Consider the following 27,622-nt stretch of genomic DNA (forward strand, 5'->3'; position numbering starts at 1 on the left):
GGAAAGAGGAATGGAGCTGACTACTGATGGGTACAGGGTTTCTGCTTAGGGTGATGAAAATGTTCTCAGGCTAGCTGGGCTCAGAGGCTCACGCCTGTAATCCTAGCACTCTGCAAGGCCGAGGCAGAAGGATTGCTTGAGCCTAGGAGTTGGATACTGGCCTGGGTGACACAGTGAGCCCTCATCTCTAAAATAAAATTTAAAAAAAAAGGAAAATGTTCTAAAGCTGACTGTGGTGATGGCTGCCTACCTGAGATTATGCTAGAAACCACTGAATTGTACACATTAAATGGGTGAGTCGTACGGTATGTATAGAGGTAGCCACAGTGTCAATATGCAGTGCATGTCAATCTCGTGTGGAATGGAAGAGGAGCTGCATGCCCACTTCACAGCTCAGAACCTCGAGGCTTAGCGACATTAAGTAACTCAGCCAAGGTCCCTTGACCCGTGGCAGTGACAGGCCAGGGCTGGAGCTCAGAGCTGCCAGATGCCAGTCTAACCTGGGAGCTGGTGCCTCTGTCACCCAGGGCAGGTGTCTGGGAAGCTGAGCGTTGCATTCCCTGCGGAATCACTTGACGACAATGTGGAATGTTACATGGATAGGTAAAAAGTCACAACAACATGATTTTACTCAGAAGACTTACGACTCTGAAACAACTTTTATTCCTCAGTTGAGCCTGTGCACGGCTTTTCTTTACACAAATCAATGGCCAGAAGTTTTGGTTAAGGAAAAGCCCATTACACTTCAAATGAATACATTTTATTTTCAAGAAACTCCAAAGGACAGTAAAGTAATTCGCTCAGGTCAGACTTATTTCCATCTTATCTTCAGCATCTCAGCATTTCTTCTTTTTCTTCTTCTTCTTTTTACCCCAGATACGTCACATGGAAGAAACAGATTATAGTATTTATGGCACACAAGCCTCTGTTTATTTCTCAATGTAGTTATGGTTTAACATACATTTACACCTGCTTGCGAAAGTTTGCTTCCCCTGGTGTCCAAATGCCTGAGAAGAGAGGGACAAACTGTCTATTCGAAGCTGAGAATGTCAAAGAATGAATCATTGTCACGAGTGGAGTCCAGAACGCACAAAAGATGAAACTTCGCTAAACAGTCCTGGCCTCAATGCCAGAGAGCACATCCCAAAGACGGGGACGCTCGCTCGCTCTGGCTGTGGCTCTGGCTTTCTCTGGTCTCTATCTCTCTCTCTGTTTCTCTGTCTCTCTGTTTGCTATCTCTCTCTCTTGTCTCTGTTTCTCTCTGTGGTCTCTCTCTCCGTGACTCTCGTATCTCTGTCTCTCTCTTTCTGGCCTGTCTCTCTGTCTCTCTGGTCTCTCTCTGGTCTCTTCCTGTCTGTCTCTCACTCTCTCTGATCTGTCTCTGTCTCTGTCTCTCTCTAGTATCTCTCTGCCCCTCTCTGGTCTCTCTCTCTGTCTCACTGGTCTCTTTCTGTCTCTGTTTCTCTCTGATCTGTCTCTGTCCCTCTCTCTCTCTGGTCTCTCTGTCTCTCTGGTCTCTTTTTGTCTCTTTCTCTCTCTCTGTTTCTCTGTCTCTCTGTGTGTCTCTGTCTCTCTCTCTGTCTTTCTGTGTCCATCCCTCCCTGTCTCTGTCTCTCTCTCTCTCTCTCTCTGTCTTGCTCTCTCTGTGACCATCCCTCCCTGTCCCTCTCTCTCTGTGTCCATCCCTCCCTGTCCCTGTCTCTGTCTCTCTGTTTTTCTGTCTCTGTTTTCTCCTGGTTTCTCTCTCTGTCTGTCTCTGGTCTCTCCCTGTCTCTGTCTGTCTCTCACACTCTCTCATTCTCACTCTCACACACTCTCTCACTCTCTCACACTCACACACTCTCACACTCTCACACACTCTCACACACTCTGTCTCTCACACTCACACACACGTAGACAACAAAGACTCTACTGTCTTAACTTGCAATGGGTTTTCCCCTAATTTCATAGAACGTTCCCATTTATTTCCTGTCCTTGGGAAAGGGAAATCTCTAAATCCTTTTGGGGTTTCTCATTAAGATCCTGACAAATGAGAGAGAAAGAAGAACTTGAAGCCCACCACATCACCAAATATGGGATACAAATGTGCCCTTTCCCCGCCTGCGTTCCCCACAAGTCATGACCACAGAACTACCTAAGGGCCCCCAGGGGGCTGTTCCTCATGGCCCATCTCACCCAGCTCCCAACAAATGCTAAATTGGCTGGTGTGACCACACAGACTTCCCGATGAAACCCAAGATGCAAACGGGTTAACCTTTAAAAACAATACCGGGCTTTCTTAAACGCCGGCCTGACCCGTCCCCACCGCTCCTGCATCAGCCGTGATTGACAGGGCCCCTGGGACCCTCAGGGTGAGGCCTCTGGTAGGCCCTGACCTTTCCTGGGGTTTAGAGGCCCCCAGCAGATTATCTGTATGGTCCAGTGGGGACCTATCTTTCAGCTTTTCCTGTCAAGAATTCCTGCCTCCTGCTTGGGACACAGCGAAGGGGGTTGACAAGCGAGACACCCTGTCCCCCTTGGAGCTGCCTGAAAGTCACTCGTTCTGAGCCAGCCTCCATCTGTCCGACAGGCACACAGAGCGCCGCCAGGCACGGCCCTCATTCTTCACCCCGAGCTCCCGCAAGGTCGGCGAGGAGGCTGGAGCAGCGGGTAGGAAGCGGGCCGAGGCTCCCCCGACGCTGGGCCGCAACTGTCATCGCAGATCCCTGAAAAACGAGCTCTGTAATCGTTGCCGTCAGCGGGTGTACAATTGCAGCCTTATGTTTCCTGCCGCTGTTTACCTTCCTGAGCGGCGCCCAGAGATGCACACACGCTGCCCTGAAGCGGGACGTGACCTCTGGGCACCTGTGAGGTCCTGGGTGAGACTTCATGGGACACTCACGGCCATGGGGGGTAGCTCTTAGTGCCACCCTACAGATGGGGAAACCGAGGCCCGAGAGGCCGAGCAGCAGGTCAGAGTCTCAGAGGCAGTGAGTAGCTTCCCTGAGACTCCAATCTAAGCAACTCAGCTCCCGATTGCAGGTTCCGTCCCAGTCTCGTGTCCCCAAAGGAGCCCCATTGTTCTCTTGAGATGTTTTCATGGCAACAACAAAGAGCGTGGGGATGGCCTGACACCTGCAGAAAGGCCCGGAAGTGGACGGGCTCTCCTGCCTGTGCATGGCCTGCTAGACTCAGGTGTCTCCTTCCTCCCAGGCCCGCCAGCCAAGTTCCTGTCTTCAGTCACACACGTGCGCCTGCCACAGGGCCTTTGCACAGACTAGGTCACCTGCCTGGAGTGTGGCCAGGCTCATCCCTTTCACTCAGGTCCTCAGAGAGGCCTTCCCCACCTGCCCGGGCCAAGCCATAGCTGCCCTGCTTCCCTCACGTCCATCTCACCTTGCTGAGCTTCGCCAAGCACTAAGGACTGTTCAGTCGTGTGTTTACTTCTTTATGCAGCCTTTCCTCTACTTGGTTATAAGTTTAATAAAGGAAGGAGTATCCATATATTTCATCCACCGATGTAGACCCAGACCCTAGAACAGTGAGTAGCTACTCACTGTTCTAGGCACGAAGTAGGAGCCCAAGAGGTATTTGATGGACAAGTGGACTAATGAGGAAATGGGGATGTGTAGCCTGTGTCCCCTTTACCTTCATGTGGTGAGCAGCTTTTGCAAAGGCTTCCCGGCTCACGATGGAGTTTCCTAACTGCCAGGCTCACCCCTCTGTCCCTCAACTCCCACCCTAAAGCCTTCTTCTACAATGTGCCTGACACCCTCACACACAGCTGATGGGCTCCAGGGAGCAGCCTGACCCAAACGGAGATCAGCATCCCCCACCCAGGGAACTTGAACTTGGGACCGAGAGAGAGAATGCAAGCTGCGTTAGGTTGCTAGGTACGCACACTGCTGGGAAAATGTTTCCCAGACACAGACGACATGGGTGGAGGGGAGAGGAACCATGAAGAACAGCATGAGGAGACTGAGAGAAGAGAGACCAAGAGAGAAAGGAGAAAGAGAAGAAGAGAGAGGAAAAAGAGAAGAAGGGAGGGACAGTGGGAGGAAAAGAGACAGAATTCCTGCACCTTCCTGGGGCCTTGTGCCATCCCTCTCCAAGATTCAGCTCCATCCCTGTATCCTTATAAATTCCCCAATTGTCACCTGAGCCAGAACCAGGGTGTCTGTGCTGCTTGCCAACAAGAGCCGAACTCATCCCCCACCAGCCGGCCTCCCTTCTTGTGCACCCCTCACAATGCGGGTGTGCTGGGCCACGTGCAGGGAGGGAGACAAGGATGTCGCGAGGAAGACCCTGACCTCCGTGTGTGCAAGGAAACCTGCCTTGCACACGTGTCATTCAAGATGCCTACATCATGTGGAGCCAACAGCCTGTCCATTGATCCAACAGCATCTTTTGAATAGCTCCCCTGCACCGGCCTCATGCTCAGGAGCTGATGCTGAACAGACCAACATGACTCAGCCCTTGTGGTGCTCACGTTCTGTTGGTAAGAAAGTGACTTCATAAAGCTGAAAAGTAAAAGTCAATTATTATGCTGTAAGTGACAGGAGTTAAGTGGCAGGACTGCCCAGGGGTAGGGAAGGGGTTGTAACTTTCAGTAGGGCACTCAGGGCAGGTGTCACTGAAAGGCGGCGTTTGAATGGAAGTGTGAAGGAGGTGAGGGAGGGCACATTCCAGGTGGCTCCAGCAAGTGCAAAGGCCCTGGGGCAGGAACTGCCTGTGTGAGGCACTGAGCCCCAGCCGTGTGGCTGGTTGGGGGGTGGTGCATGAGGGAGAGACTCAGGAAGGAACCAGGCCAGACAGGCAGCAGGGGACACATGGGGAGGCCCTCGCCAGCCATACATGTGATTTATTTTGGCCTCACAGAATCTTGGAAGGTAAAAGATGAAGAACAAAGACTCACAGAGGTCGAGTGAATTCCTGAAGGTCACACGGCTACTATGCGGGAGGTCTGAGGCTCCAACAGGCACAAAACATCCACTGGCTCCTTCTCCTTCAGCCTGAGCGAGCCCAGCCAGCTGCTAAGTCATAAGTGATTGTTAGGAAGTGGTGGCTGTCCATAGCGGTGGCACCATTTGGCCCTCACCAGCTGTGAACCTGGGCTCCAGTTCCCCCACATCCTCACCAGCACTGGTGATTTTCCATTCCCGGATGACAGCCATCCTGGTTGGTGTGAGGTGGCATCTCCTTGTGGTTTTGATTTGCGTTTTCCCCAACAACTTGTGACGGTGAGCATCTTTTCATGTGCTCGTTGGACACAAAAGGCCGCAGAGCACACGATTCCGCTTCCATGAAATGTCCAGAAAAGGCAAACCCATAGAGACAGGAGGTGGACGTGCGGTTGACAGGGGCTGGGGTGAGGGCCCATGGGGAGGGACTATGAACGGGTGCAGAGTTTCCTCTGCAGGTGGTAAAAATGTTCTGGAGTTGGCGGTGATGGTTGCCCTGCATTGTGAATGTAAATGCCACTGCATTGCACACTTCGAAATGGTTAAAATGGTGACTTGTATGTGAGGTGTACTTTACTGACATAAGAATAGAAGTAATGGATTGCTACAGGCTCTTTTGGAAGGGGGTTGCCTAATTATAATTTTATCATCTTCCAGCCTGCTCCTTTTTTCTAGATTTTGGCATCTGTATGAGCAGCCTTGGACTCTTGCCGGGGTTTTTAGGAATTTACCTTAAGGAGAATGTCTTGAAAAGGCCAACGGGGCTTTCCACATGTGTCCTGGTCAGATGTCAGAGCCAGCGGGGAGAATCTGCTGATTGCCAGCTTCTCTCTGCACAGCAGAGCCCAGTGTGTCCGCGTCGGCATCTGAGGTCACCCCCAAACTCGTCTGGCACCCAATTAAATCAACGCCCAGCCCCATGTGGAAGCTCGAAGAACGTGAACTAATAACAATAAATAGCTATTTGGTTACTTTTTACAGACACATTTGGACTGCATTTCAGGCGATTTTATGAGCAAATGCTATTTTGAGCGTTCCCAAATTCCCAAATTGCACGTGAAACATCCGCAGGGCGAACATGAGGAGTTTTAAGCTCACAGATCTTGGACATAAATCTCAGGCTGTCCCAAGACCCAGGCAAGACTGGTGCAGCCACTGAAGTGCCCTCCTGGAAGGTTAGATGGTGCCCAGCTGACACTTGCCCTCAGGCACAACTGGGGAAGAGGCCAGGTCTAAGAAAAGAGCCCTGCAGAAAGAAAGGGCAGGAGAATAGAGGGGTGGTGAGATGGTGGGGAGGCAGTGGGGGGCGGCTGTGGGGTTCACCTGCTCTAGGGAACCCCCTCCCAATAGGTGGGGGCTGTTGTTGATCATAACTCTTCCCCACCCTAATTTAGGGTTGCCTTGTCCCAAGTGGGCACAGGTGGGCTTCCCACCATCATCTTCCCTCCAGATCTGCAGCCCACCTGAGCCTCATCCAGGGCTACCAGGTGCCCCTACCTCCAGGGGCCACAGACACAGGGCACTTTTTCTAGTTCCCCTTCCTGCCCTAGAATGTTGACAACACGTGCTGTCCCTCCACCTGGAAAGCTCTGCCGGCCTCTGCCCTCCCCTCCTCACCCATCAGCTTCCTCTTCCCCCGGTGCCAACTCACTGTCACCTCCCCGGGGAAGTGCCCCTGACCGCCAGGCAAGTTCTCTGGGTGACTTGCCCCCCAGCATCACAAGTGTCTCCTTCATTTGCATGATTCATTGACTATCTAACAGGGATCCTCATGTGTCCCACTCACCATCCCCAGCACCTAAGTGGGACCTGGCTCCTGGCAGGCTCCTGGAAATAACTCATGCCTAAGCAAAATCCTCCACTCCTGCTCCTAGCTGCCAGAGAGTCCAGGCAGACCCACGTGGCAGCTGGGGAGTTGGGCTGAAGCCAGGAGGAGCTGAGTCTGCAGTTTAATCCTGGGATACTCTGAATCACTCATCCATTTATCCATTTGTTCAAAACCTACTATCTGCCCAGCACTATGCTCAACCTGAAGATATGGAGATGAACAAGGCAACCTCTCAGTCTAGCTGGGAAAACTTGTATATCACACAGATGACTGTTAAAAGATGACTCCCAAGGAAGTAAGTTTGTGATGAATATGGGAGGAGTCAATTCCTTATCCTAGGAATACAGAATTGATCCCAGGTCCCCCTCAGATACCAGAATCTGCAGATGCTCAAGTCCCTGTGTAGTACAGCATAGTGTTTGCATATAACCAATGCACAGCTTCCCATATACTTCAAACCATCTGTAGGTTACTTGTAATACCTAATACAATGTAAATGGTAGGTGCATAGTTGTTATACTGTATTTTTGTTTGTATTATTTTTATTGTTGCACTGTTACTTCTATTGGGTTTGATTTTGGAATATTTTCAATCTGAGGTTGGTTGAAACTGTGGATGTGAAACTGTGGATGCCGTACTGTGAGGCACAGCTCTTCTGCTAGTTATCAGCTTCCTTCCTTATTGACACAATCCACATCCCATAACAGGTACTGACATCTGCTAGAGGCACTCACTTTCCCAACATGCCTTGCAGCTAAGAATTGCCCCATGGATCCAGTTCTGAACTCAAGGGGAGCTCCACAGGGAGTCTCTGGGAAAGAGCTTCTTCTGGGAAAGTGCTTTCTCCCCAGTGAAGAGATTCCTGGGACAAGAGTCCCCCCTGCAACCCTGTCTCTGGGTCTTACTGTGTGAGAAGGCGGGGCCTGGCGTTGGAGCCCGCATTTCATAAAGTCAAGCCACACAGAGGCCAGGGAACTGGAAGGCAGGAGGTGCTGCCTCCTGATGCTGCTGCTGAGCCACACCTGTAATCCCCCTGCCTGCAAAATCTGCCTGCCTGCAGAATCCCCCACCTGCAGAATCCCCCTGCCTGCAGAATTCCCCTGCCTGAAGAATCACCCTGCCTGCAGAATCACCCTGCCTGCAGAATCCGCCGCCTGCAGAATCCGCCTGCCTGCAGAATCCCCCGCCTGCAGAATCCGCCTGCCTGCAGAATCCCCCGCCTGCAGAATCCGCCTGCCTGCAGAATCCCCCGCCTGCAGAATCCGCCTGCCTGCAGAATCCCCCTGCCTGCAGAATCCTCCTGCCTGCAGACTTCTGTGGAGCCACTCAAGGCCATCATTGCTTACACCACTCTCGCTCAGGCATTTTATTATTTACAGCCAGGAGCAGCTGAGCCACTGCAACCTTACTGTTCCATCCCATTCTCTTGGAATCTTGCCCCCAGGAATGTGGGGTTGCCAAATGAGGCATTACTGGGAATGCCAGAGGGCCCAGGGGGCCTCCCGGAGAGCTGCCCGTGGGCAAATCTTCTCAAAACTTCCAGGATTCTCCACAACCCTCTGGGAGTCCCCAGAGCTTCCCGGAGCTCTGCCACTTATTAGCTGCCCAGCACTGAGCAACTTAGCCGACCCACTGTGACTCAGTTTCCTCTGTAGAAAAGAGGAAGAAAACACCCTAGTCTGGATGAAATAAACAAGGAAATGTGAGTGCCCGCCCTCCCTTCGCCCCTCCCAGGTCTTTTTCTTTGTGCTCACCCCACTTAGTATTCCCAGTTCTCCCTCCTCCAGACACCCAGTAACTTCACCCTCAATGCCCTTCTCAGACCCTGGACTGTCAGATCCGCCAGGGAAGGGCCTGTCTCAACTGTCTTTACTCCAAGTGTGCACCTCGCAGAGGTTAGTACATATTTGACCAACGAACGGCCATCCTCTCCCAGGAAAAGAGCCTCCTCGTCTCACGGGGACTTCCCGGACACCAAAGCCCCGAAGATCTGGGGGCCGCACTGTCCAGGACAGCACCTCAGGCCGCACACAGCTTCTGAGCACTTGAAACAAAGATACCGGAGTATAAAATACATGCTGGACACCAGATTTCAAAGGCAGAGAAAGAAAAGAATGGAAGGTATGATATGAATAATATTTACATTGATTACATATTGGTATGATATACTGATACATTGGGTTGCATAAAATGCATTACTAAAATTAATTTCACGTGATTCTTTTTACTGGCTCACATTGCATCACTTGTGGGATATATGCATGCAGCGGTGCTGATGCCAGGGCCCTGCCTCCCTCGACTCCACCGCCGGCCTCACTACCCTCCCCCAGGCTCCAGCCACACTGGCCTTGTCTCTGCCTCCCCAGATCTTCCCTGACGACCCTGATTAAGGTCCTCCTCTCTCTGCCCCATTTGCTCCAGTCCATCTTGTTCCCAGTATGTATCACAATCAGAAAGTGTTAGCAGGGTTTGTTTATTTATTTATTTTCATGCCTGGCTCATTTTTAATTGGCAAAAAGCATATGTAGGCTGGGTGTGGTGGCTCACGCCTGTAATCCCAGCACTTTGGGAGGCCAAGGAGGGCAGATCACCTGAGGTCAGGAGTTCAAGACCAGCCTGGCCAACATGGCGAAACCCCATCTCTACTAAAAATACAAAAGTTAGCGGGGTGCGGTGGTGGATGCCTGTAATCCCAACTACTCAGGAGGCTGAGGCCGGAGAACCACTTGACCCTGGGAGGTGGAGATTGCAGTGAGCTGAGATCACTCCACTGCACTCCAGCCTGGGAGACAGAGCGAGACTCAAAAAAAAAAGAAAAAGAAAAAAGAAAAAAAAAGCATATGTATTTATGGTATATAACATGATGTTTTGAAATATGTAACGTCTCTGTAATCCCAGCACTTTGGGAGGCCAGGTGGGTGGATCACGAGATCAGGAGTTCAAGACCAGCCTGGCCAAGATGGCGAAACCCCGTCTTTACTAAAAATACAAAAATTAACTAGGCGTGGTGGCAGGCACCTGTAATCCCAGCTACTCGGGAAGCTGAGGCAGCAGAATAGCTTGAACCTGGGGGGCGGAGGTTGCAGTGAGCCAAGATCGCGCCACTACACTCCAGCCTAGGTGACAGAGTGAGACTCCATCTCAAAACAACAACAACAAAATAAACACATAACGTCTCTCCATCACTTCCCACTGCATCTGGCATGGAACAAATGTTCAACCATTTGTTAATAAACCAGTTTTAAATAAAGTAATGAAGAACTGAGTGAAGGAACATATGGTCTTGGGGTGCAGTGGATGAGGACGCTACAGCAAGGCAATCTGGCCTCAGGCCAGCACCATGGGGTCCTGTTCACCTCAAATGTTGGTTTATTGCCTGAAGCATTGTGCAAAAGTCTGAAGTGTAAACGGCTTTCATGGCAAACTTCAAAGTATCGGCACACCCATCATCCTGCCATCTTTATTTCATTCTCATTTGTACGTTCCCATTCTGCCATTTTCTATTTCTATACACACTTCTCATAATTGCAATTGTACATCTTTTACTGGCTTTTAAATTTTAACATTGCATCTTTTACATTTTTTTCAAGTTTCTATAGGATCTTAAATTGGCTGCTAAATGTTGAATCATATTTCGCTTTTTCAAAATTTGTGAATCATATTCTTTATTATAGAACAGGGGTCTATGGGCCAAATCTTGCCTGCTGCCTGTTTTTGTAAATAAAGTTTTATTGGAACATAGGCACTCTCCTTGCTTCCTTACTGTCTGTGGCTGTGTTTGTGTTACAATGGCAGAGCTGGGGAGCTGTGACAGACACTGCCTGTGTGTGGTCTGCAAAGCCAGAAGTGCTTACTATCTTTGCCTTTGGCTGGGCACGGTGACTCACACCTGTAATCTTTGCCTTTAAGAAGAAATTAGCCCTCCCCCATTCTAGAACATTTAGATACTTCCAGATATTGGCAATTAGATTACCTGGCAGTGAACATCTATCTTTGTACATTTGATTTTTAACTTTTAATACCACCTGTCCTCTGTATAAAATCTTAGGAATAGAATCAGTTGCCTGAAGAGAACCAACATTTTTTGTAATGCTTTACGCTCATGTTCTGTGAAATTTACCAGGCTACCAAGAGTCAGTGAATGCTCTAGTTTCACTGCAATCAGATGAGCAAGGAATGTTAATGTTTAGAATGTCAGGGGTTACTATGGGAAGTACAGAAATGATACTCGAGGGCTTCTTTAATTTCATTATCTTCAATATTTAGTGACCAGATTTATATTTTGGGAGTGGTTTGCTTCCCCAAAAGTCCAATAGCAAAGTTACAGTGAACTTTGTTTTAAAGGGATATTCAACCACCTTAACTTGTTGTAAAAAGCCTCTTCCCAGAGAAAAGGGTTTCTTTTGCTAAGGGAATTAACCTCTGGGGACAGCGTTTTCGGTGGGATGTACCTCTTTGGGGTCAGGGAAGACTAACAAGAAGAGAGTCTCAAAACCACCTGCCTTGCAAACGTGGGATGTTCCCCAGCCTGTTGCTCATTACCTCCCTGGGAAATCCAGGAAGAACATGACTGCAGCTCTAACCGGACCCCACTCAGGCTTCAGGTCAGAGCCAAGTCTCCCTGGGGAACTGCGGGTTGACCAGGTGGCTCTGAGAGTCGGGCTACTACACTGTTGAGGCTGTTGCAGGGTGGCCCCTGGAGCAGTGCGTGCCTCTGCGTTCCCATGGCCTTTCTAGAGCAGATAGCTGCTTTCTGAGAGGCTGACAACTCCATGTCAGCCAAGGACCCCTAGGCAAAGGAGAAGAAAAATTTTACAGTTTGTTTATGCTGTTTCTCCAGCTGACCAGGAAGACATTGTCAACTGTCAGTCAGCCCCCCGGTCCTCCACCCAGCCTCTACTCTGTGTGCCACCCACTTGCCCTGCACCTCCAGGTACAAGACAAAGGAAATCTCTCCCCCGGGCATGATATTGTACAAGAGAGTGTATATTGAAATAGACTAAATCAGGACTCCTTATAATCATGGCCAACACGGCCCTTCACGCTCCACCCCAGCAGCTTTCAATCCCAGCGGCTCATTAGAACTCCCTTTGGGGGGCTTTGAAAAAACACAGAATTTTACCTGGGGTGGGGGGTCCTACTCCATGTAGTGTGGAGTCATGGATCTCGTGTGACTCCCAAAGGAGATTGTAACCTGCACCCAGGGCGGAGCACCTCTAGTCCCTGCTTGACTCCCCAGCTCCTTGTCTTGGCATCTTCACCCCCTTCACACCCTTTGCCTTTCCTGCCCCAATCCTCCAGCCACCCCGAGTTCTTGCAGATGCCCCAGGGGTCTCATGTTTCCTTTTATCTACATGTAGGACTCCTCCAAATGCAATGCTCTCTCCAGCCCTTTTCCACCAACCAAGTCTGACTCACCCATCAGAACAAACATCAAATAGGACTACAGATGCAAGAGTAGATTAAACATTGCCCAGGTTTCAGAGGCTGCATACCTGGGTTCTCATCTTGACTCTAGGACTTAATGGCTGTCAGATTCGAGGCAAACTTTGAACCCTCTCAACCCACTTTCTTATCCATAGAATGGAAATAATAATGCTGAATTGGCCGGATTGTTGTGAAGGCTGCAGGTGATATGTGTGAGTCATGGTGGCCCAAATATGAGCAATACATCCCAATAAATGCTAGGTTTTAAAAAAAGCATTATTGTTATTGCTAAAACATTTGCCCTTTAGAGGGAATCTAGCCCAACATGCTTCTAGAAAGGGTCTTTGAACAATGCCTGCTTTTTGCCTCTTTAAAGACATTTATATGTGACTCCTGTCTTGAGCATCTTTAGGGACAGCAAACCTTTATCTTCAGAAGCAGGTTTGGATTTTAAAATAGTCTTACAGAGCCAGCCCTGATGATTCATTGATATAACAAGCATGGCTTGCTTCCCCAGTAAATAAACGAAACCAATTTCACCATTTGATTCTGTAATCCCTGGGTGTATCTGAAAGTCTCCATTGTCAAAGACCAATCAAATATTGAGGGTGCCTTTGTGGACTGCGGTTTTCTATCTGTTTGTTTATTTAACAAGTGTCTGCTAATCTTTAGCAGGAGGCTGGGGATGGATGTAAGGATGGATGGATGAATGGATGGATGGATGGATGGATGAATGGATGGATGAATGGATGGATGGATGAATGAATGGATGGATGGATGGATGAATGGATGGATGGATGGATGAATGGATGGATGGATGAATGAATGGATGGATGAATGGATGGATGGATGGATGAATGGATGGATGAATGGATGGATGGATGAATGGATGGATGAATGAATGGATGGATGAATAGATGAATGAATGGATGGATGAATGGATGGATGGATGGATGGATGGATGGATGGATGGATGAATGGATGGATGAATGAATGGATGGATGAATGGATGGATGGATGGATGGATGGATGGATGGATGGATGGATGAATGAAAGGATGGATGAATGAATGGATGGATGAATGGATGGATGGATGGATGAATGGATGGATGGATGGATGAATGGATGGATGGATGGATGAATGAATGGATGGATGAATGAATGGATGGATGAATGGATGGATGGATGGATGGATGGATGGATGGATGAATGGATGGATGAATGGATGGATGGATGGATGGATGGATGGATGGATGAATGGATGAATGAATGGATGGATGGATGGATGGATGGATGGATGGAGAGACGGAGATAGAAATAGATAATAGAGATAGACAAATGATAGAGATGGATACATAGATGATATAGACAGATGATAGAGATAGATGATAGATTAGATAGATAGATAGATAGATAGATAGATTGATAGATAGATGTTAAATACATGATGCAAAACCACTTGATGTTATTAGGGACATTCATTATAATCAAAGAGCATCATAAGTCTAATGACTAAAGACTTACGATGTAAATTGTGTTAAGAGCTATTGAGGACAATAACCTCACTTAAGCTTAAATGAGTACAATTATTGTGTCAATTAAAAGAAGAAATTGAGTTAAAAACAAGCAAAGCTTTACCTGAGACTGCAAATGATAACTGAAACCTGGTCTTCTCATTGGCAAATTAAGTAGTCATTAGTAGATAAACTTAAGTTAGGGCACAGACATGTGGAGTTGGTCACCCTCACACGTGGACACATCCCACTGGTGAGGTCCTGAATCTCACACCTGAACGCAGTCAAAAGTTGGAGATGTGACTCTCCTACCAGTGCCCAGCCAACAGGTGAGATGGTGACTCATTTCTGGACCCAGTTCACAGGCGCTATGATGATTCTCATGCCTGGAACCAACCAATAGGCCAATTAAAACATCTTTAATTGCATGAATGTGAGAGTCTCTGCTCCCAACATATGACAGGGTGTCTGTGGGTTCAAATGATGACGCCTGCTATCCCGGATGCCAGCACTAGAACGTTGTCTTATGATCATCTGTACCCTCCTGCCTGTTGGGGGATCATGGACCCCTAGAGTCAGGGGTCACATCCTGTCCATCTCTATCCCAACACTGGCCATGAGAGGCCTTAGTCGATCCCAACAGGCCTGGGTCCAACCGCTCTCCAGTCTCCTAACTTCCCTAGACCTCATCTATTCCGATCAAAAGATAGGAACAACAATGTTTCTGGGAGAATTAATTGAACCCGTGTGTGTTTCACACTTGTATGGCACCTATGGGTGCAAACAGCTCAGTGTACATTAAGGAAATACCATTCTCCTCCTCCCCATCATCTCTAGCTTCTACTATGTACTTTCCATGTGTTGGAAACTAAGCGATTTTGTGAAAATCAAAATCCCACAGAGCCTCCCATGCACAGTGAGGGCACTATGATCCTTACTCCCTTTGTTCCAAGAAGCAGACGGAGGCACAGAGAGAGGAAGTTGCTAGAGGCTGACCCAGGCAGGAAGTGGCAGAGGCAGGATTTGAACCCAAGCATCTGGTCCCAGAGCCTGGGTTCTGAACCCTAGTAATGTGGGCCTCTCTGAATGTAGAATGCCTGTTGAAAACTAGTTGAAAACATGCCATTGGATGTACTTAGGCACAAAAATGTTATTTACACGCCTGAATAAAATTAGAAGATTTCACAGTTAATTTAGCACATTGGACCATTACGTTGGATAATTCGAATCAGCTATTCCATTTGATCTTTTCTCAAATTGGCTGATGCTATTATTACTATGGCTAAAAATGAAGAGGAAACCCTTCCTGTGCTGTCTCGTAGCCAAGTCAGCTAACGATTTTCTAATATCTGTCATTGTGAACTGGAAAATGTGTCCTAATCTCTGTGAAAGTTTCCAAGTAAGATCTTTATCACCAAACACACAGAAGGGATGGAGATAAACAGCCCAGTTCACCCCAAACGCCTTTTTCTGTTGTGTTTTGAGAACATGCATGATTTATTTCATTTGCAGTTGAGCATTTTGGGTGGCGGCTGTCCCTGTTTTCTGTTTTCCCTTTCCACGGCTTGGCATTTATTCTACGTGGGAGAAGCATGGGGTGCAGAGCGGTGGCACTGGGACTGCGTGCCGATCCCTGAGGCCTGTTCCCATGAGTAAACCAGCTCTTTTGGCCCTAGAGCCCAGCTTCCTGGGGAATATCCCAGAACAGTGACTGCAAGGTTCAATGGTGCACCAAAGTCAGGCACCTGCACAAGGAGGCCGTGGGCGGGTTCCCCCATCCTAAAGCTTTAGGAGACCATGGGTGGGTTCCCCGTCCTAAAGCTTCAGGAGGCTGTGGGCGGGTTCCCCATCCTAAAGCTTTAGGAGGTCGTGGGCGGGTTCCCCATCCTAATGCTTTAGGAGGCCGTGGGCGGGTTCCCCATCCTAATGCTTTAGGAGGCTATGGGCGGGTTCCCCCATCCTAAAGCTTTAGGAGGCCATGAGCGGGTTCCCCCATCCTAATGCTTCAGGAGGCCATGGGTGGGTTCCCCATCCTAAAGCTTTAGGCGTGAGGTGCTCGCTGGGAAGGGACCATGCACTCCCCCACCTTCAGGGCGGGCAATTTGAACCACTAGAGTGGAGATGTAGGACGGACAGCAATCCAGTTAGATTTAAAGTCTAAAAAGTTTCAAACATTCCATTTTATGATATTATATAATGTAAGGGAAAATAACTTTTCTCTGTATAACTTGAAAACACAGAGTAACATAGTGTTTTTGGCAGGTGGAGATTTTTAGGTGGGATCACAATGGTTAGTGAGGACATATTCTCCATAGCCCTTTGGGGGAGTGGATGTATAAATCACATATAATATGGGATGTATTTCTGCGTTTCTCAAAGGGGATATCTGTTTAAGAAGGTTAAGAAACATTTATTTGGAGAGTAAGCCAAAGAGTTAGTTAAGAAACCAGCTGCTTTACACGTATGCAATCATTCATGTATTTATTCAAAATGGATGAACATCACACCAGCTGATTGCTCAGCACAGAGCCTGACCACATCTAAACTTCGGAAGTTTCAGCTCTGACTGTGGGTAGGTAGGTTGTAGCAAAGCATGGTTGGGGTGGGGCTTGTCCTAGCCAAGACCCTCCATGACCCGCATGTGCACAACCTTCCTTGTCTTTGGGACTGATACTCTCATTTCAGGAAGCTGTCAGTCTCCGACTTCTTGAGAAAGATCAGCGTGGCTGATAAGCCCTCCCTGGATGAGTGACAGAGCCACTTCTCGGCATTATCATGTTATCACCCATGCCTCCTGTGATTGCACAAATCCTCACAACCTCCCAGCTGCTCATGCTCATGGGTGTCATCTTTCTTCGCAACACCCCTCTCTCTGGCAGTGGGAGCATCTATTTATAGACTTCCATGGATTTTGAGCGAAAGGATCATATTTTCTGGGCTCTGCCACTGGAGAGATGTACTCTCATCAAACTTTTTCTCTGTTACTGTTCTCTGAGGCCCACAGAAGTGAGGGGCATGCCCAGAGCCACCTGGTGAGTTAAGAGGGGGCCCCGCCCAGGCACCAGCCTCCTGTCCCCCTCCAGGGCTCCCTCCCACCATGACATCAGGGCTCACACACTCATAGCCCTGGGTCAGGGGGCTGGGAGGGGGACATTGTGGATAACATGCCAAGTGGGAATTGGGGCTCAATGTTGCCAAGTTTATGAATTTGTAAAAGATGAAAATATTTTACCTAATACATAATTCCCCCATTTTTAAAAACACCAGGTTTCCAAAAATACAAAACCTTAGTTGAATCCAATCAAACAAACTCACATAGACGTGAAACTGCAAAATGCAAGTCCATACACTCTTCCAAAATGCCAATGAAGTAAAGACAAAGAAAGATGGAGGAATGTTCCAGATTAAAGAAGACAAAGGAGATAGCCAAATGCAAGGTGTGCTTCCAGGTTGAAGCCTGGATGGGAAGGCAAAAGTTGCCCCAAAGCACAGCATCGGGACAAATGGTGATGTTTGAATAGGAAGACCAGCTAAGAGCACCCTGGTGCTGTGGCTATGTAGGAGAACGTCCTTGTCCTCAGGAGAACACAGATGTGTTCACAGCCGAGGGACACACCCTCCACAGGTTCCGTCAAAGAGTTCACCAAAAATAAACAAACAACGACAATGACGATGCTGATGGTGACAGAGAAGGAGCAAAGAGCAAGTGCAGTAAATGTCAGCCACAGGTGAGCCCAGCCACAGGAGTAATGCCAGCCGCAGGTGAGCCCAGCCGCAGGTGAGCCCAGCTGCAGGGGAGGTCAGCAACAGGAGTAATGCCAGCCACAGGTGAGCCCAGCCGCAGGTGAGCCCAGCTGCAGGGGAGTTCAGCGACAGGAGTAATGCCAGCGACAGGTGAGATCAGCCAAAGGAATATAGCAGGCCATTGTAATATTTGACCATTTTTCTACAAGTTCACATTTTTGAAAATAAAAAATTTAATAAAAGCAAATAAAACAGGGAAAAATACAGCCAGGGGAGCCATGCCAAGCCTCCCTGCCCATCTGCCCCTCTCATGGGCTGCCCCCAGGATGGAGGCTGCCCCTGTAACACAGCGCCCATCGGTGAAAGGGTTTCAGGTGATTCACCGAGCAGTCCAATCTCATTCATAGGCACGGGTACCAAGACTACTTCGAGCTCCCGACTGCCAGGGCATGCAGAGAAGAACAAATCAGACGCAGCTCCTGTCCTCGTGGGACTCACAGTCTAGACGCATTCAGATCAGAGCACAAGCAAACTCCGCCCTGCGCAAAGGCACCGACTGCGCATGTGCTGAAGGGAACAGCCGGCAGCAGCAGCAGCCAGGGCAAGAGGCACAGGGGAGCAAAGCCAGGACAGGGAAGCCCACCCTGATGGGCTCCAAGAACTCAGGACAACGGTTCCAGGCAGCAGCCACCACCCCGCCACACGATGAGGACCAGAGGCCCGCGTGCCAGGCACCATGAGGTACAGCTAGAGGGTGCAGGGTGAGGTCCGGGAGCTACGTGGTGCCGGCCTGGAAGGTCACACTACAGGTATGGATCTTATTCTGATGGAGTAGGGCCTGCGTCCACCCCCGACCCTCTCCCTCTGTGCTGTCCAAAGCCTGCAGCTGATGATGAGATCAAGAGCAGAGCCCTCTGACGTCGTGCTTGCTGCCTGTCCAACACAGCTCTAAGCACGCAACGTCTCTGAGCCAATTCAGTCCCCACATTAGCCCAGTCAGGAAGATGTGACTATTATCCCCATTTCACAGATGGAAAAACTGAGACAATGTGAAATCAATGTGAAAAGGGCCCTTGTGGTAAACAGCTCTGTACCGGGTTGAATTGTGTCACCCGCATAGTTATGCTCAAGTCCTAACCCTGGGCACATGTGAGGGAGACCTTATCTGGCAGCAGTGTCTTTGCAGATATAATTGGGTCAAGATGTGCTCATATGGGGTGAGAGTGGACCTAATCCAACGGGACTGGTGCCTTCATAGGAAGAGGGAAATTTGGACACAGACACACACACAGTGAAGACGGCAGAGGCCGCAGTAATGCACCTCGGAGTCAAGGAATCCCAAGAAGAGCCAGGGACACTGGAAGCTGGAAGAGGCAGGAAGCGTCCTGCCCTGGAGCCCTCAGAGGGAGCACAGCCCTGCCCGCATCTCGATGGCAGACTCCCGATTCTGCTGCTGTAAGCCCCACCGTTTGCGGTCATTCGTTATGTGGTCATTTGTTAGTGGCCCCGGACGTGAATATCAGCTCTAGAAAGGGTTCTCAGATGTGCATAACAGGGGCCAGTCCCACCCGCTACAAGAAGCTGGTGGCATGGGGGATCTTCTACAGGTTGTTGTTGGCATCGATTAGGGAACAACTGTGCCCCTTGTCAGCCACCCCAGCCCCAAAACCGTATCAGAATGGAGGTCCTGTAGACCCCACAGGAAAGAAAAATGAAAGTCAAGCGGTCACTACTTCTTTCCCTTCCTTTTTCCCTTGGGGCATCATTGACTACATTATAAGCTGGACCACACTGGAATTCTCCCATATTCAGGCTGGAGCTGTTTTGATGGACAGCTGTCTGCAGAAGGGCAGATACTTCCAGGGGCTGTGCCTGCAGGACAGGACAGGGCAGCCACCATGGCCTCCCTGGGACCCCAAGTCAGATACCTGATCAAATTAGCACATGCAGCTGTTCAAATCGTGGTCCTGAAACCCGATGACTGGTTCTGCGAGGGGCCAGGGACAACATATAGAAGAGAACCAGCTTTCTAATGAAAACATTTGCGGGAGAAACAAAGGAGACTTCCTCTCAGAGCCCGCCCTGTCTGCAGACCTTCCCTGGGAAGAGGGAGAGAAGAGGGAGGAAACAGGGAGGTCAGGACGGCGGGATGGGCACGGTGGGAGCCCCAGACCCTCCCTCACTGCACAGTGCCTGTCCCTAGCTGGCGGACTCCAGCCCCTGCCTGCCCTGGCATTTCAGAATATCTGATTCCTGACCGGGGGGGGCCATCTCAGTAAACAAACATTTAGGCTTACTGTGAGCTGTTCGGCATGCATTTTCCTCACAGTGAAATAAGCCAATCCTGCAGGATTTGGAATTTTGCAAGTTTTCATTTGGGAGTAAACAAGCCCCTTTGATTTCTCTCTCAAGGTACGCCGGGAATAGATATTTTGGTCTCACATCCAAGCAGGGAGGTCGTCTGTTTTTTGTATAACAGTAGTGGCTGTTTAGAGAAAGGATCGGTAGTTAAACTTTCAAGTCTCAGCCAGAAATTACACATAAACAAACTGTCGTGACGGCACCAATGAGTGCCAGATGAGGCCAGGTAGAGGGCTGGGGGCTTCTCCAGGCTGCCCTAGATCCAAGGATGAAAAGACACCGCAAGCCGCCCCACCGTGCACACAGCAGGCACACTGTAAACACACACCTGGACAGTGGAAATCCAAATCGCAGAATTTGCACTCAGGCCCAGCCCTGCGTGTGTGTGAATTCCCTAGAAAGACGTTTCTGCTGCCCTGCACTTGGAGCATTTTGGTGGCTGCCTGGGGGCAGGGACAGCGAAGGAGCAGAGGGTTTCACTGCACAGTAGTGATGGAGGCCACATTGCTGGCGGAACTACACCGTAGACTAAATGCAACGCGGCGGACTAGGGTTCTGCAGAGGTGGAGGATGTGAAGACACTCCACCCTGACTCTTAAGTCAGATGATGATACAGAGAGCAGGGCTGGTTATCACAAGAGGGACGAGATAATGCTGCTCCCACAAACACACTCGCTTTCCCGGGGGTGATGTGGCACCATTGAGCTATCGTGGTAAACCGCAGCTGACATGGCCACCCCGACTTATGGGCCAGGCTTCTGTGAAGCAGCTGACACCCATCGTTACTTTTAATTCTCCCAATATCTTGCCAGGTAGACACTGTTATTTTTTCATGCTACTGGTGGGCTAGCTGAGGCTTTGGGAAGTTCAGGAACTTGAGTGAGTCCCGCAGGTGGGTCACGGAGGAGCGGGCCACAGCACCCATGTTGGCTGAGGCTTCAGGAAGTTTAGTAGCTTGAGTGAGTCCCGTAGCTGGATCACAGAGGGGCGGGCCAGAGCACCCATGTCGGCCTGACCCCTGGGCACCCTGTGCTTTTGTATTGGGAGGCTGTTCTTTCTTAATGGCCTTTTCTGCCTGAAATAATTATAGTCGGCTCAGTAATTTCACAGAGTATCACTAATGTATCCACTAATCCATTCAACAAATACTTACTGGGTTGCTATTGTGTCGGGCACTGGGAGGTATCTGCACAAAGGATGTGTCTAGGCGGTGAAGATAAACCAGTGAACAAAAAAGACAAAAATCCCTGCTCTGCCAACGCTGGCATTGTAGAGGGGAGAGACAGATAAACGTAGCGAAGAAGTAAATTGTAGAACATGCTAGGAAAAAAAGAACCAGGCCTGGGTGGGGGTTGGGAGACCTGGGTTAGAGTGTGCATGTGGATTTACTACCGGCCAGTTCTATGCTGGAAGCCAAGGGTTAAGATAGGAGGAAGGCCAGGCTTCTGCGCACAGGAAGCTCACGGCCCATCACGAGAGACCAATATGGGAACCATCATCACCACGCTGTGGGAAAAGGACTATGTGGAGGCAAGAAGAAGGCGATGTGGGAACAGGAGGGAAAGTGTCTACATCTCTCCCAGGTAACCCCAGGGAGCTGCACAGAGTCACATCCGTGCATGTATGTTACATCCCCTGCCAGGTCACTGCCACAGCCACAGCTCGCTGTTGCCATTTCTGACCCATTAAGTGTTAACACAAGCTAAAATCCTCACTGCATTCTCAGAACGGCTCCACGAGAAAGAAACTGAGGCTCAAAGAGAGAAAACAGCCTGCCTCGGTCCCACAGAGTTGACGGTGGATTCAGAATCCCACCAGATCTGTGTCTGTCTCTAAAAGCCCACTCAAATCCAGAATCTTATACTGCAATACTTTTGAAGGAAAGAACTATTTCTTGTCTTCCCTCTATCTGCTGTAGACCTAGCACAGTTTCCTGAATAGATGAGATGCTCGGTAAACAGCTGTTGAATAAATGAATGTATTTTGTAGTCATATGTGGTCTATGCTTTGTTTCCTGTATATAGCCATTCTCCCTCTCTCTCTTTCTCTCTCTCTCAATCTCTCTCCCTGTTCCTCCCTCCCTCCCTCCCTCTCACTTTTCCTCTCCCTCTCCCCCTCTTCCTCTGCCTCTCTTTCTGCATTCCTTCCTTCCCCTACATGAGCAGGAGAGAGAGAAACATTTAGAGACACATTTCCCTAGGATTACATGTGTGTACCCAGCTCATCTGCTGGCTGAAGGATTAGCTGTCTTTTCTCCCAGTGGCTTTACTCTGTGCTACCTGACAAGAGGCTGTTTGGAAGACCCTAGGTTTTGGAGCAACATGGCACTTTGGCTTCCTTCTCCTCATGTCCAAGTTACTCACTTCTCAGGATGCAAGGGCACTGGGTTATTTGCCCAAACCTGTGGCCTGGTGAAAGGCTAGGCCTCACGCCAGCCCCAGGGCCAGGTGGCCTCTCTTCACAGTCCTCAGCAGCCCATAGGAGGGGAGCCAAGCTCAAATCCAATTAGTGGCTCCTCACAAGTCCCTCCTGAGGGGGAAGGCACAGAAGGGTGAGGCTGCACATCAAAGACTTCACCTCCTCCCTGCGCTGAGGTTCGGCCCAGGTCCATGGAGCAGGCTGCAGAGGAACTCCATCCAAGATCCCCTGTGAGCTTGGAAAAGTCCTCCTGGAGCGGGGTGGGCCGTGGTTTTAGGTGGAGTCAGGCTCTGAGTCCAGGACATCAGAGGTTTCTCTGAAGCCTTTCCAAACCTTTCACATTGGAGAAATTGCAGTGGGAGGCTGCCACCCTCCAGCCCTGCAGTGAGACTTCTGACACCTCTGCCCTCCATCCTGGCCAGAAACAGTGAGGCCAGCTTCTTCGCTCCCACACCCCACGCACTTTCAGCTGCACACAGAGCCCCCATTGACTTCAAAGGGAAGAACGGAGAAGAAACAGGGACTGCCTGTCAGCAGAGGTTCCTGTGTGAGTTCAGCACTCACAGGTCTGACCCCGACAACACAGCCAAATATCCATCCGGGGTAGAATGGGATGGGGATAGGATAGGTGGAAAGAGACCCCCTGAAAACTAGGCAGGCCCAGCCATGTTTGCACAGAGGCGCAGCTCCCAAAGTGCCTGGAAGCCCCAAAGGGGGACCAGCTTTGTTCCAGGAATTGTCTTCCAGAAATGAGGCCTGAGGGATGTGTACAAGCCCCACCTCCCTGAGGTCTGCTCAGCCACAGTGGCCACCAAGCCCAGCGTGGCTCCACTTGCTGTCAGAGTCAAAGGAAATGCAGGAGGAGGCTGCCAGCACACCCACGCCCCTTGCAACGCGTTCCCCATGGCAGCAGCCAATGCTGCAGAGAAGTGGGCATGACCGGAACTAAGTGGGCTTGCAGAATCACAGGCCCCTCAGAAACCTGCAGGGTGGACAGCAAAGAAAAGGAGGCCAGAGGCCTGTGGCAGCCTGTCCCCAAGCCACACAGCCAGGAGATGGCAGGGCTGGGACCAGCGGGTGAGTCTTTTCTTCTGCTTGTCTTTTTCATATGCTATTTCCAAGGGAAGAGCTAACTGGAGATAGATAGGACCCATCATTCATTCATTCATTTAATTACTCATTCATCCATTTAATAAATATTACCAAAGACCTTCTCAGGGCTAGACTCTAGATCAACCCTGGGAGACACAAAGGATAAGTCAGAATTTATATATAGTCTGATGGAGGATATAGGGAGGGGGAAGGAGAGCTAATACATGCTAATACAAGAATTCCATCTCTGAGTATCTACCCAAAAGAAATGAAACAGGTATTTAAACAAATGCTTTCACACAAATGTTCACTGCCGCATGATTCACAACAACCAAAATATGGAAAGAGTCCACATGTCTGTCAACAGATGATGGACAAAGAAAAACATGCCATACAATGGAATATGATTCAGCCATAAAGACGAGTGAAGTGCTGATTCATGCCACAGTGTGGATGAACCTCAAAAATATGACACTACGTGAAAGAAGCCAGACACAAAAACCACATATTTTATAGTTTATATGAATGTCCAGAATAGGTAAGTTCATGGAGGCAGAAAACAGACTCGCTGTTGCTGGGGGATGGAGGATGTGAGGAGTGACTGTTAATGGGGAGAGGGTTTCTTTTTGGGGGGGCGGTGAACATCTCATCAAACTAGATAGAGGTGGTGATGACACAATGACACAGCACTGTGAGTACACTGAAGGCCCCTGAACTACACTCTTTAAAGTGGTTCCTTGTATGTTATGTGAATTTTACCTATGAAACAAAATATAAAACTAAAGGATAATAAAAGAGATAATGAAATTAAGCACAAAGGAAGGACAGAGTTTTTCGTTGTCTTTTTGTTTTTGTTTGTTTGTTTGTTTGAGACGGAGTTTCACTCTGTCACCCAGGCTGGAGTGCAATGGCACGATCTCAGCTCACTGCAACCTCCACATCCCAGGTTCAAGCAATTCTCATGCCTCAGCCTGCCGAGTAGCTGGGATTACAAGCATGCACCATCACACCCGGCTAAGTTTGTATTTTTAGCAGAGACAGGGTTTCGCCACGTTGGTCAGGCTGGTCTCGAACTCCTGACCTCAGGTGATCCACCCACCTCGGCCACTCAAAGTGCTGGGATTACAGGCATGAGCCACCTTGCCCGGCCCATTACTTGTCTTAGAAGTGTGATGCACACACAGAAAGTGCACCTAGTATGAGCTTACAGCTTTCTGCAAACTGTGATAGGGACCTAGGCCAAGAAACAGAGACAGAGCGGTCCCCAGAAGCCCTCTCTGCCCTTCCAAGGGCCACAATTCTCCCAGATTTTTTTGACCTTGACATAGATGGAGACACAGTAGATACTCGTTTTGTGTGCGGCTTCTTTGGTTAATAACGTTTTTGTGACCTTCCTCCAGGTTATTGGGTGTAGCTGTTTGTGCTTCTAGAGTATATATTGCATGAACGTATAATTGATTACCTTGCTATTGATGGGCATTTGGGCAGTCGGGTTAGGGCTGTCACGAACAGCGCTGCTGCTATGGATATTCCTTCAGTGCATATTTCTTGGTGCACACATTTCTTTCGAGTCCATACCTGGGAGTGGATTTGGTGAGACATGGCATATGTGCGTGTTCACCATTAATAAGTAAAATGGCATGTGAGCAGAAGGCGTCTTGGAGGTGATGATGTTGGAGCCAGTTCTGGCTGGGCACATGCATGTTGGGTGGAGAGGAGCTAAGGAAGCACGTTTGTGGTTCCAGACAGAGAGAGTGGCCTGGGAAAGGCAGTAGATGACAAGCACAGGATGTGCATGGAGAACACAGGAGTCAGGGTCCCATGGCCCCAGAGGGTGAGTGTGAAAATGATGGTAGTGGGGCTGAACAAGAGGCAAAGAACAAGCCCTGTTGCTCAGGGTTTAACAGCCACCTGGCAATCCAGTCTTGACCCAGGAGTGCTGGGGAGCCTTGGAGGATGGAGCAGGGAGGCTGGTGATTGGGACTGGGCAGTCCACTGGAGGGGGCCCCAGGACGGGTCTGTGTGTACCAGGGCCTGGCCCTGCTCTTGCTTGGCACTGGAAGTATTATCAGGAAATGTGTGGGGACTATATCAACCACCTGACATCAGCACTGTGCTTTCCACCCCAAGGTCAGGCATTTGTAGAAGTTTCCAGTGACTCACCAAAACCTACTGTTGTCTTTAAAGCCTTTAATTTGTGCCTTAGAGACTTGCTTGACATTTGCATTCTGCCTTATCGCATGTCTGCATTTGTTTGAGAGCATTCCTTATCTGAGCGGGGACTCGCTGGACGTGCACCAATTCCGTCTCTTCTGCCTGGGCACACGGGAGACCACATCTCCCATCCCCCTCTGCAGGTGGGTGGGCTCCTTTATTTGGGTCCCAACCAATGCATCGTGAGTGGAAGGGACCTGGGCCACTCATTGCTTTTCATGCAGAGAACGTGGAGGCTGTGAAGCAGGATTCCGAGCAGGACCTCAGCGAGGCCACTGTCACAGGACGGAAGCATCAGGGAGCCCGAGTCATTCCTTGGAGGGCAGCCGTCCAGGAGAGGCACCTGAGGGCATCAGTCTGTGACGTGAGTCAGAAGCGAACTCACTGCTTTACACCTCCAGGGCTCTGGGAGTTACCATGGCAGTAAGTGATAACTACCTTGGCAAACACATTCCCCGATCCTTTAGGAAAACTGACACTCCAGAAAAATGAGCCATTCTTGTTTGTTTGAGATGGAGTCTCGCGTTGTTGCCCAGGCTGGAGTGCAGTGATGTCATCTCAGCTCACTGCAACCCCCGCCTCCCGGGTTCAAGCGATTCTCCTGCCTCAGCCTCCCGAGTAGCTGGGACTACAGGCGCCCGCCATCACGCTCAGCTAATTTTGTGTATTTTTAGTACAGACAAGGTTTCACTATGTTGGCCAGGCTGGTCTCAAACTCCTGACCTGGTTATCCGGCCGCCTCGGCCTCCCAAGGTGCTGGGATTACAGGCGTGAGCCACCGCGCCCGGCCAATGAGCCATTCTTACATGCTGCGTTGGAGTCCATTCCTAGCACACCTCTTCACCCCAGCCTTTCCCCAACTGAAGCCAGAGTGCTGCCAAGTACCAGGGCAATCATCTCCAGAGACTCCAGGATAAGAATTTGTAATGCAAAAAGAAAGGCATGGAAACAACCACACATTAACACCTGCCGTGTGGCTCTTTCAATGTCTGGGTGCCCCACACCCTGCATCCTTGCATTAATGCGGGTACTCAAAATCAGCAGTGCTTGCATTCTCATTAGCAAGGATTTCCCCGCCTCTAAAGTTACTGTGATTGTATTCAACTCTCAGTCTCCCTTTACATAAGTCACTGTCCTCACGTTCAGGGGAATTTGCATTCTTCCAATTGCATGTATCAATGTCTACACCAGACTATTTCTCTCTCTTCCTCTGGTCCTTCAAAATACAATTCCAGGAGGGCAATGATACGAGTAATTACTTGCATGTGCTCTGCTTTCTGGAGTCCATTGAACACTTTCACAGGTATCCAATGAGTTCTTCCTTCTAGGGCAGAATTACTATCTCCATCTTCATCTTGGAGAGGGGAGGAATGGTAAAATGGTACGCAGTCACTACCTGTTACCCCCCTGGGCTTTGGAGACACTAACCCTCTTTGAGTCCCAGCCTTGCCTTTTACTAGCTGTGTGACCTTGGGCAAATTGCTTGACCTCCCTGTTCTCCATTTTCTTCATCTGTTAAATAGCAATAATACCTTTCTCATGGGGTTGTTGACCCATTACTGGGGTGTAGCATAGTAGAAATGAGAAGTGAAGGGACACACAGTGCTCTTAGAGGAGTTGGAGTTCCAAGTGAGGAGTTTTTTAAAATGGGGAATTATGGCACTGAACAGGAAGCTTTAGGGATGATTTGGTCCAAACTCGCTGTCTTGTAGGTTCTCAGTCTGGGACATAAAGAGGTGAAGCAGCTTCAATTGTCAAAGGGCCCTTTCACTAGATCACTGGGTCTCAATACAGATGCATACTCAGATTATCCAAGCAGCCCAGGTCCCACTCCTGGCTAATTAAGTTAGGGTCTCTGCAGGTGGGGAGGGTTACGTTTAAAAAAGCTCCCCAGGTGACTCTAATGTGCAACCAGGTGTGAGACCACCTGACCCTTGAACATCTTATGCCCATCATGGTAAATGATGGAGAGACAGTTTCCCCAGTGAGCTCCACCGCCTCAAAATGAGGACTGCTCCTTGCATAGGATCTCCACCCTCTCTTCTGACCCTGTCTTTATGGAAACATGCTGATATGGTTTGGCT

At 49.5% G+C, this 27,622-nt stretch overlaps 3 annotated features.

Moving 5' to 3' along the window:
* Positions 19,117-19,899: an enhancer, noted in NCBI's record as "H3K4me1 hESC enhancer chr16:86928957-86929739 (GRCh37/hg19 assembly coordinates)". NCBI's record gives its function as "activates a minimal SCP1, AML or CMV promoter by ChIP-STARR-seq in naive H9 embryonic stem cells {active_cell/tissue: H9 hESC(naive)}" and the evidence as "EXISTENCE:reporter gene assay evidence [ECO:0000049][PMID:30033119]".
* Positions 24,790-25,293: an enhancer, noted in NCBI's record as "H3K4me1 hESC enhancer chr16:86934630-86935133 (GRCh37/hg19 assembly coordinates)". NCBI's record gives its function as "activates a minimal SCP1, AML or CMV promoter by ChIP-STARR-seq in naive H9 embryonic stem cells {active_cell/tissue: H9 hESC(naive)}" and the evidence as "EXISTENCE:reporter gene assay evidence [ECO:0000049][PMID:30033119]".
* Positions 25,294-25,796: an enhancer, noted in NCBI's record as "H3K4me1 hESC enhancer chr16:86935134-86935636 (GRCh37/hg19 assembly coordinates)". NCBI's record gives its function as "activates a minimal SCP1, AML or CMV promoter by ChIP-STARR-seq in naive H9 embryonic stem cells {active_cell/tissue: H9 hESC(naive)}" and the evidence as "EXISTENCE:reporter gene assay evidence [ECO:0000049][PMID:30033119]".

Source organism: Homo sapiens, chromosome 16 (genome assembly GCF_000001405.40).
Source record: "Homo sapiens chromosome 16, GRCh38.p14 Primary Assembly".
In the NCBI taxonomy this organism is placed as follows: domain Eukaryota; kingdom Metazoa; phylum Chordata; class Mammalia; order Primates; family Hominidae; genus Homo; species Homo sapiens.